General features: G+C 40.0%; 1 protein-coding gene across 18 annotated transcripts in view; it reads left to right on the forward strand.

Moving 5' to 3' along the window:
• The window catches only part of DDHD2 (DDHD domain containing 2), a 42,063-nt gene that overhangs the window by 20,789 nt on the left and 10,643 nt on the right, over nucleotides 1-10,631 (forward strand). For 6 of the 18 annotated variants that reach the window (NR_156416.2, NM_001362914.2, XM_047421615.1 and 3 more), the window contains 5 exons: nucleotides 349-451; nucleotides 584-754; nucleotides 1,183-1,345; nucleotides 7,667-7,774; nucleotides 8,227-10,463. Coding sequence is in view for 11 of the 18 variants with exons in the window: in NM_001362914.2 (NP_001349843.1) it covers nucleotides 349-451; nucleotides 584-754; nucleotides 1,183-1,345; nucleotides 7,667-7,748 (519 nt within the window). In the remaining 7 variants the exon portion in view is untranslated. Of the gene's footprint in view, nucleotides 1-348; nucleotides 452-583; nucleotides 755-1,182; nucleotides 1,346-7,666; nucleotides 7,775-8,190; nucleotides 10,464-10,631 lie in introns of those variants that run through there. The other 12 variants (XR_007060723.1, XR_007060724.1, XR_007060726.1 and 9 more) reach the window with 4 other exon arrangements.

The following is a 10,631-nucleotide window of genomic DNA, read 5'->3' on the forward strand; positions in this document are numbered from 1 at the left end:
TTTTCCTATTCCATTGTCTAGCAATGAGACAACTTATAATAGTATTGATTTGGAAGTGATGGAGCAGAACTGTACATTTTTTTAAATGAACTTATGATTATTGTTTAAGATACATAGTTCTGGTTGTACATGGTGACTAATGCCTGTCATCCCAGCACTTTGGGAGGTCAAGGCAGGAGGATTGCTTGAGCCTAGGAGTTGAAGGCTACAGTGAGCCATGATTGCACCACTGCACTCCAGCCTGGGTGACAGAGCGAGACCTCATCTCAAAAAAAAAAAAAAAAAAGTTATATAGTTTCCAGACTGTGCTTAGCAGAGGTAAATGTAGCTCTTGTTTTTCCTATGTAGTTTGATCCTGTGGCCTATAGGATTGAACCAATGGTGGTCCCAGGAGTGGAATTTGAGCCAATGCTGATCCCACATCATAAAGGCAGGAAGCGGATGCACTTAGGTAAGTCCGAGCATAGAACTTGATAATTCTAGACCTTTTGGCCAGTGCAAAGGGCATCATTCACTCTGTTCAGCTATGTTGGACCCTAAGCTCTTTGTAAATCATTTAATGTTCTTTATTTATATGTTTCAGAACTGAGAGAGGGCTTGACCAGGATGAGTATGGACCTTAAGAACAACTTGCTAGGTTCGCTGCGGATGGCCTGGAAGTCTTTTACCAGAGCTCCATACCCTGCCTTACAAGCTTCAGAAACACCAGAAGAAACTGAAGCAGAACCTGAATCAACTTCAGAGAAGCCTAGTGGTCAGTGACACTGTACACATTGACCAGCTGCCAGATAAGAGGGATGCCATGGTGTGGCGTTTTTCATAGTTAATTTAATTTAATTTCACATTTAATTTCATAGTTAATATTGCATTCTTTTGCTTTAGTTTTCAACTTCTAAAGAGCTCTATTCCTGCTTGCATTTAGTATAAACCCAAGGCAAATGACCTAGCTATCAATGGTATAGGTAATGAGATGTGTTGCGCAAAAGCAAAAAAGGGGATTGGACAAAATTACTGTGACCTGAGAAGGAGCTTGAAGGAGATTGAGAGGAGGAAGATGGGAGAGAGCTCTCTGAACAGAGAGTAGCTCATTCTCTGGTAAACTTGGAGTGTGAGGAGAAGTTAACAGGATAACCCTGAAGGCCAAAAGGTTTTAGATTCTTATTATGGTTCTTCCATATCCAGATGTTAACACAGAAGAGACCTCTGTGGCAGTTAAAGAAGAAGTCCTGCCTATCAATGTGGGGATGCTGAATGGAGGCCAACGCATTGACTATGTGCTACAGGAGAAGCCTATTGAAAGTTTTAATGAGTATTTATTTGCTTTACAAAGCCATCTATGCTACTGGTAAATGTTGTTTATTTTTGTCTGTTTTGTTTGTTTACCTGTTTCATAGATATTTGATAGATGTAGAAAAAGGAGGATAGGCCAGGTGCATTGGCTCAGGCTTATAATCTCAGCACTTTGGGAGGCCAAGGTGGGAGGATTGCTTGAGTTCAGGAGTTTGAGACCGGCCTGGGAAACATAGCAAGACCTCATCTCTACAAAAACTAAATTAGCTGGGCGTGGTGGTATGCGCTTATAGTCCCAGCTACTTGGGAGGCTGAGGCAGGAGAGTCACTTGAGCCCAGGAGTTTGAGACCACAGTGAGCCATGATCACACCACTGCACTCTAGCCTGGGTGACAGAGCAAGACCCTGTCTCAAAAAAAAAAAAAGACCTGTGTACCTTTGGAATTAAAATGACTTCTCATTTAGACAGCACAAGCACAATCATGTCATTTCAAGAATCTGGTTTAAACACACTGTTGTTTTATTTTGCAGCTGGGTAGAACATGGTTGAGGCTAATGATGCCAACAACCATAAGTTCAATTATCTTGGTGTTAAAAATGTGTCTTTTGGCCATTTAGGTGCACATGAATGAACTGGAACAAATATTACTGTTGCTGGAAGTCTTATAGCAAACCCATTTGAAAGCATTTATGGTAGCTGTGACAGAATTAATTATTATTATTTTATCATTATTTGAGACAGGGTCTTGCTGTGTCACCCAGGCTGGAGTGCAGTGGCATGCTCATGGTTCACTGCAGCCTTGACCTCCTGGACTCAAGTGATCCTCCCCCCTCAGTCTCCCTAATAAGTAGGATGACCGTTGTGCACCACCATGCCCAGCTAATTTTTGTACAGACAGGGTTTCGCCATGTTGCCCAGGCTGGTCTAAACTTCAAGCAATCAATCCGCCTCCACCTCTGCCTCCCAAAGTGCTGGAATTACAGGCATGAGCCACCACGCCTGGGCAGAATTATTATTAAATATAATTGGTTACCTGATGGATTGTAGAATGGATTAATGATGCTTATTGAAATTCAGGCCGGGTATGGTGGCTCATGCTTATAATCCCAGCACTTTGGGAGGCCGAGGAAGGAGGATTGCTTGAGGCCAGGAGTTGAAGGCTGCAGTGAGCCATGATGGTGCCACCGCACCCTAGCCTGAGTGACAGAGCGAGACCATGTCTGAAAAAAAATAGTATAAAATAATACTAATTAATCCCTGAAGAAGTTGACATAAAAATAAAGTAAGGGAAATAAGATGGGTCAGAGATAAGTGTTTTAAAAATGAAAGCTCAGACCAGCATGGCCAACATGGCGAAATCCTGTCTCTACCAAAAATACAATTAGCCAGGTGTGGTGGTGCATGCCTGTAGTCCCAGCTACTAGGGAGGCTGAGACAGGAGAATTGCCTGAACCTGGGAGGCAGAGGTTGCAGTGAGCGAGATCACGGCCACCGCAGTCCAGCCTGGGTGACAGAGCGAGACTCCATCTCAAAAAAAAAAAAAAAAAAAGCAAGCTCAAAGGTCCTAAGAATAATTTTTCCCTTGAATTCTGATGAGGAATTATCATCTGATGCAATCACTATCGTTTGTATATAATATATACAGTAGAGGCCAAAAGCAATCTTGTAAGGGGCTAAAATAATGCTAAGAATGATCTCTGGTGATCTGGCTTGATAGAAAAGAAAGCAGAGTTCTTTTAATATTTCTGTGTGGGCAGTACATTCATATGGTTTGAAATTCAAAGAAAGAAAAATAATGAAAAGCCTCTTTTTTATTTTGTTTCTTGCAATCAGTTTCTTCCCCATATACAACTAATGTAAAATGTCTTCCAGCCATCTATTTTATGCCTCCATAATAAATATATGTATGTGAATATATTCTTTCCCTTATTTTAAAAACATAAATAGTAAATTAAAGGCAATGTTCTGTGCCTTGTTTTTTCTACTAGTATATCTTGGCATTTTTTAACCTATTATATGTTGTTTCCTCATTTTTTTTTTTAGCTGCATAGTCTTCCGTTATGTAAATACACCATAATTTATTTAAGCCGTCCTCTACTCATGGACTTTCAGGTTTCCTTTTCTTTTGCACACACCTTGTTCATGTCATTTCACCTACTCATGAGTATATCTGTAATGTAAAATACTTCGAATTGAAATCAATGGCATAAAGGGTATATACATTTGTAAAATTTGATAAATATTGACAAATAAGAGGTTGTACCTTTTTATACTCCCAGCAATAATGTACGAAAGTGTGTGTTTCTCCACAGCTTTTCCAACAGTTTTAATATTTTTAAATCTTTGCCAATTTGTTGGGTGAAAATGTACAATATACTGTACATATTAAAAGAATACACATTTGATGAGTTTTGACATGTATACACCTGTGAAGCCATCACTACAATCAACTTAACATATTCATCACTCTCAAAAGTTTCCTTGTGCCTTTTGTAATCCCTCCCTTCTTTTCTCTTCCCCACTCCTCCTAATTTCCAGGGAGCCACTGCTCTGTTCTGCCACTGTAGATTAGTTTGCTTATGACTTGTATTTGGAATCCTACAGTATATACTTTTGTTGTTTGGCGTTTAGCTTATTTATTTATTTATTTATTTTTTTGAGATAGTCTTGTTCTGTCATCCAGGCTGGAGTGCAGTGACACAATCATGGCTCACTGTTGCCTAGATCTCTGGGCTCAAGGGATCCTCTTAGGCTCAAGGGATCCTCCCATCTCAGCCTCCCAAGAAGCTGGGACTGCAGGCATGTGCCACTGGGCCTAATTTTTTTTAAATTTATTTTCGTAGAGATGGGGTCTCACTATGTTGCCCCTGCTGGTGTCAAACTCCCGGCCTCAAGCAGTCCTCTTGCTTTGGCCCCCCAAGCTGTTGGTATTATAGACATGATCAATGTTGTGTATATCAATAGCATATCCTTTTTATTGCTGAGTAGTATTCCATTATATGGATATATCAGTTTGTCCATTTACCTGTTGATGGATATTTTGATAGTTTCCAGTTTTTGGCTATTAACAAAGCTGCTAGGAACATTCATGTATAAGACTTTACATGGACATATTCTTGGGTAAATAGGAATGGAATGGGTGGATACTATATGGAAGTGTATTTTTAAAAGAAACTGCCAAACTGTTTTGCCACCAGCAGTTTACATCTCCATCAGCAGTGTTTGAGAGTTTCAGTTGCTCCACATCAACTTTTTTTTATTTTTTATTTTTATTTTTGTGAGGCAGTCTCACTCTATCACCCAGGCTGGAGTGCAGTGGTGCGATTATAGCTCACTGCAGCCTTGACCTTGGACTCAAGCCATCCTCCCATCTCAGCCTCCTGAGCAGCTGGGAGTAGCTAGGACCACAGGTGTGTAACACTATGCCCAGCTAATTTTTCAAATTTTTTTGTGGAAATGGGGTTTTGCCATGTTGCCCAGGCTGGTCTTGAACTCCTGGGCTCCAGTGATCCTCCCACTTGGCTTCCCAAAGTGCTGGGATTACAGGTGTAAGCCACCATATCTGGCCAACAAGTTTTTTTTTTTTTTTTTTTTTTTTTTTTGAGAAGGAGTCTCACTCTGTCACCCAGGCTGGAGTGCTGTGGCACGATCTTGGCTCACTGCAACCTCTGCCTCCCAGGTTCAAGCAATTCTTGTACCTCAGCTTCCTGAGTAGCTGGGATTACAGGTGTGCGCTACCATGCCTAGCTAATTTTTGTATTGTTAGTAGAGATGGGGTTTCACCATGTTGGCCAGGCTGGTCTCAAACTTCTGACCTCAGGTGATCCACCTGCCCCTGCCTCCCAAAGTGCTGGGATTACAGGCATGAGCCACTGCGCCTGCTCAAAATTTTTATTTTTATGTAATCAAATGTGTTGTCATTTGCTTTTTGGTTTCTGGAATTTGTGTCATACTCAGAAAGATCTTCCTTACTTTCCAAAAAAATTCTTACCACAGTATTTTTTTTTTTTTTTTTTTTGAGATGGAATCTCACCCTGTTGCCCAGGCCAGAGTGCAATGGTGTGATCTCGGCTCACTGCAACCTCTGCCTGCCAGGTTCAAGTGATTCTCCTGCCTCAGCCTCCCAAGTAGCCAGCATTACAGGTGTGCACCACCATACCTGGCTAATTTTGTCTTTTTAGTAGAGACAGGGTTTCACCATGTTGGTCAGGCTGGTCTCAAACTCCTGACCTCAAGTGATCCCACCTCAGCCTCCCAAAGTGCTGGGATTACAGGCGTGAGCCACTGCACCCAGCCAACACAGTATATTGTTATATATATAATTTTTTTTAGAAACAGGATCTTGCATGCAGTGGCTTCTCACAGGCATGATCTTAGTGCACTAGACCCTTGAATTCCTGGGCTCAAGCAATCCTCTTGCCTTGGCCTCCTGAGTAGTTGGGACTGCAGGTGTGCAACACCATGCCTGGCTATTCTAATATTTTATATCTAATTTTTACATATAAATCTTTGATTCAGATTCAGGTCCTTTTTTCCCCACGTCTCAACACTATTAATAGATTTGAGATTCTAAATTAAATTAATTAAATTCTTTTTTTTTTTTTTGAGACAGAGTCTTGCTGTGTTGCCCAGGCTGAAGTGCAGTAGTGCAGTAGTTGGCTCACTGCAACCTACGCCATCTGGGTTCAAATGATTTTCCTGCCTCAGCTTCTTGAGTAGCCGGGACTATAGGCATGTGCCACCATGCCCAGCTAATTTTTGTATTTTTAGTAGAGATGGGGTTTCACTATGTTGGCCAGGCTGGTCTCGAACGCCTGACCTCAGGTGATCTGCCTGCCTCGACCTCCCAGTGTTAGGATTATAGGTGTGAGCCACCGTGCCTGGCCACTTAATTAAATTCCTATACATAAATGGGACTATTTCTCAACTTCTTACTTGTTGATTTGCTTATTTATGTACCATTTTAATATCTGATAGAGCTAATTCCCACTTGTTGATACAGGAATTTCTTAAGCTGGGGTCTGTGTATATGAGTTTGTGGGAGATGAGGGAAGTCTGTGAATCCAATGAAATACACATTTATAATTGTGGTTGCAATGTGATCCTTTCTGGGGAAGAATCCGTAATTTCATTAGATTCTCAAAAGGATGCATGACTCAATAAATGTTGAACCACAGATCTAGAAGAATAATAGAGGCTTATATCCTTAAGGCAGTCCCTCATGAGTGTTAATCTTTTTAAATCAAATTTTGTTATGAAGTGTGGATATAAGTAATTGCTTGTGCATACGTAGAATAATATCTGGAAAACGCATGAGAAATTGATAACATTGGTTGTCAGAAGATGGGAACTGGTGGTGGTTGAGGAACAAAGGTGGGAGGGAGACTTCGTTACTTTCTTATATTGTTGGAATTTGGAACCTTATGATTGTATTACCTTTTCCAAAAAGTGCATAATATTTTAAAAATTAAGGTGACCAACTGGATAACTCTTCAATAGTGTCTCTAGAATGATCTCTGTGGAAAAGGAACAATTCTTGGTTATTTCTTACTGGCTTTTTTTTTTTTTGAAATGGAGTCTCACTCTGTCGCCCAGGCTGAAGTGCAGTGACACTCTGCAACCTTCGGCTCACTGCAACCTTTGCCTCCTCGGTTCAAGCGATTCTCCTGCCTCAGCCTCCTGAGTAGCTGGGACTACAGTCGCATGCTGCCACGCCTGGCTAGTTTTTTTTTTTTTTTTTTAGACGGAGTCTCGCCTATCTGCCAGGCTGGAGTGCAGTGGTGCAATCTCGGCTCACTGCAACCTCCGCTTCCTGGGTTCAAGCAATTCTTCTGCCTCAGTCTCCCCAGTAACTGGGACTACAGGCGCATACCACCACACCCTGCTAATTTTTGTATTTTTAGTAGAGATGGGGTTTCACCATATTGGCCAGGCTGGTCTCAAACTCCTGACCTTGTGATCCACCCACCTTGGCCTCCCAAAGTGCTGGGACTACAGGCGTGAGCCACCGTGCCCAGCCCTAGTTTTTGTATTTTTAGTGGAGATGGGGTTTCACCATGTTGGCCAGGCTGGCTCAAATTCCAGACCTGTAGTGACTTGTCCACCTCAGCCTCCCAGAGTGTTAGGATTACAGGCATGAGCCACCGCACCTGGCCTCTCTTCCTAGCTTTTTTATATTACTAGACTTAATGCCAGAGTTCTTTGCCAGGTCACCTTCCAAACCACTGCCAATTACATTACTTCTGAATCTCATTTCTTTGCAGAAGTAAAAAATAAACTTGCAAGATGGTTGTATGGATTAAATGAGATAATATATGTAAAACATTTGGCACAAGTGTTAGTTCCTTTTCTCAACATAATTTTTTCTCTTTATAGGGAGTCTGAAGATACAGTATTGCTCGTCCTCAAAGAGATCTACCAAACCCAGGGTATCTTCCTTGATCAGCCTTTACAGTAAAAATGACCCATCTATGGCTGCTTAATGTAAGTTTTAAAATGTCATATATATAGTGTAATTCTTACATATTAACATGTTATAATGAACTATGGAGCCTCAAGCTCTTTTTAAATATACTAGCTGTTGCCTGTCACCAAGATCTAGGCTGCTATTCATTTTTAGAGGGACTGGTAGAAATTCATGGGGAAAAAAACACAGTAGCCCATTTAGAGGAAGATTAGTGTATGTCTGTTTTGCTAGAGATTTTGTCCAATGACACCTGTCATTTTTTAGGATCTAAACTCAGAGTTTTAATGGTTCTGTTATCTAAGAGTTACTGTGGCAACAGTTATGATTTTAATTACCAACCACCCATCCTGAGATTTAAATTACTCAGCCTTTTAGATGTGAAATTACAAAGTCTGTGTATTCGACTCTGGCATTCTCTGTGGTTGCCTTCCAGTTGTGACTGCAGCTCTTCTCCCACTTTCTTCCCTAGACGGACATTGAGGGATCCTTCCCCAGAAAATCCACCTGTTTGTTGCTGCAATTTTCCTCTCCTCAGCTGCGTCATTTCCTGCATGTTGCCTGCCACTTACTCACCACTGGGGTCTTTGGAAGATAATCTTCCTCTTTGGAAATGAATGGAAAAGCAAAAGGCCCTATTACTTTTAACCACTGGCTTCATATAAACACTTGCCATTTTTTTCTGCATAGCTGGGGGTGGTTTGTGTCTTTAATTCTTTGATGATAGTTTATAGTTGCCACACTTTATTGATTAGTACTTGACAGGGTGTAAAGCCTATTTTGGGTTTGATTTGTTTTGGGTGGGGTAGACATGTTTTTAAGGAACTTATTGCTTATCTTTAGAAAATGTTCTAGTTTGGAAACAGATTCTTGAGATTCAGAAGGCATTTTGGAGTACACTTATCTCTTGTTTGTGTTGAACTGAAGGCTAAGTCTCAGTGGACATGGAAAAGACTTTTGGGTGATTTATTTTTGAACCTGCATTTCTTTCTTATGTGTAGTGTATGAAGAAAGACTAGAATGTAGCTTTAAAAAAGTGTTGTTTACTCTCTTAGAACTGACAGACTTATTGCCAGAAATCACTGATGTTCATTGTTTTTGCAACTGTTTGAGCTGCTGTAAGAGTCTAAAGTTGACAAGTTAGTTCATGTTAGGTGCATCTTTATAAAGCAAAGATGTTGTATATCCTAGGCCTCCCTTTTATATTTGATAGAAGTTATTTGCTAATAGCTTCTATTCTTACGTTGAAAATAGTTGTAAAAGCTGATGAACCTGAAATTGTGTAGCCTCTACAGGCTGCTGAGGTTCTAAATAAAACCTTTTAGTGGTGCCTTTATGGTGAAACAGAATTTGTCACCTGCCATTTCTACTTGAGCTAAGGTAGTATTGTGTATCCTCTTTCCTTCTTAGGTATCCATAATCCACAAAGCATATTTAAAAGGCTCTTGGCACGGGCAGCATTGGTTGAGCAGGTAGGTTTGGCTAGGGGGAAATGTTTAACTTGTTCTGAAAGAAAAACTTATGTCTGTAGGGTCCAAGAAACAGCTATTCCAGAGTCAGTGTCAGCTGAGTCTGGAACATATGAAGTGAGGTTTACTTCTAAGAACACAAGTGACTGCACACTAATTTTGTCAAGGCATCTTTTCACTACTTTGCTGTAGATTTTTCTTCTTCATTGGTCAGTTTGTCATTGTCTTTGTAGTTCTCTTTATGATAATCCTTTATACTTGCTCTCAGATTCCACAGGCCTCTGTTTATAGAGTGGCAAAGGCAGGCGAGCTGTGGTTTATTGTTTATAAATTTTTTTATAAATGTTATGGTATTCAAAGCCACTGACATTTAATATTTACTGAAGCCATTCCTTAGACAGCAGTGGTCTTTATCCCTTTCTGGAAAGAAAAGGAAAATGAAGGGTAATTACTGTCACCATGGAGATTGTAGAGGTAAGGTTGGGGTATAGGTCAGGCCTGGCCTTTCTTTGTCATCTGCTTATAGTCTAGTGCTAAGTATGCCACTAAGTTTCAGATATATGGAATACTTTATTTTTTTAAAGGTATATAAACTCTGAGTTATTGAGAATTAAGTATTCACTGTATATTAAGGGGAAGCTTTTGCCAAGTTGTGGTCTTCAAATTTATGTTTACTCTTCCTATTGGCAGAATAGGTGCTATTTAAGAGTAAACCAAAGGATAAGCAGAGGGAGTCCCTATAACCAAAGATGGACAGCATAGCCCTGGATAGCCAGATAAACCACTCTTTGTATTAAGAAATGTTTCTTTCCTAGTGGTGAGGGGTGGGTAACTGTGAAAGAGCTTTATATCTTGTCTATTCATGGTATTATAGCTGTATATTCCCAGGATGATAAGCTTGATTGAAATCCTGTATTTAGTCATATATTATTTGCGCTGCTTCATTTGTATCATGTGCAATCTCTAGACCAACCCTATTTTTAAACTCTGGTACAGCATCATTTTGTACATATTCCCAGCTGCAGAACTAGTATCACTTATCTCAGCAAAAGAGATTGTTTGCATGGAAAGATTAATAGCACTGATTAGATTTCTAATATTTTGCATTTTTGAAATGTTTGTTTTCTACGTGATTATATTTAAAACTTTAGTAAATACTAACATGAAACCATATTGACTAGTGGCCTACTTTTACCTGGACTCACCCGTCTCAAAGTCAAGAAAATCAGTACAGTCACGATTTTCTCTGTCTTTATGTATTACTAAAACAAAAAAATAGGTTTTGGGCAAAGAACTAATATGTAAGTTCTTTCCTGTTGACTGGTATTTTAATTGTCATAGGCAGAATTTAAGTTCAGAATTTAAAGCATGGCAATTATAAGAGACTTTCCTTTGGTATTTATAAATA

The sequence above is a fragment of the Homo sapiens genome, chromosome 8, assembly GCF_000001405.40.
Source record: "Homo sapiens chromosome 8, GRCh38.p14 Primary Assembly".
Taxonomy (NCBI): domain Eukaryota; kingdom Metazoa; phylum Chordata; class Mammalia; order Primates; family Hominidae; genus Homo; species Homo sapiens.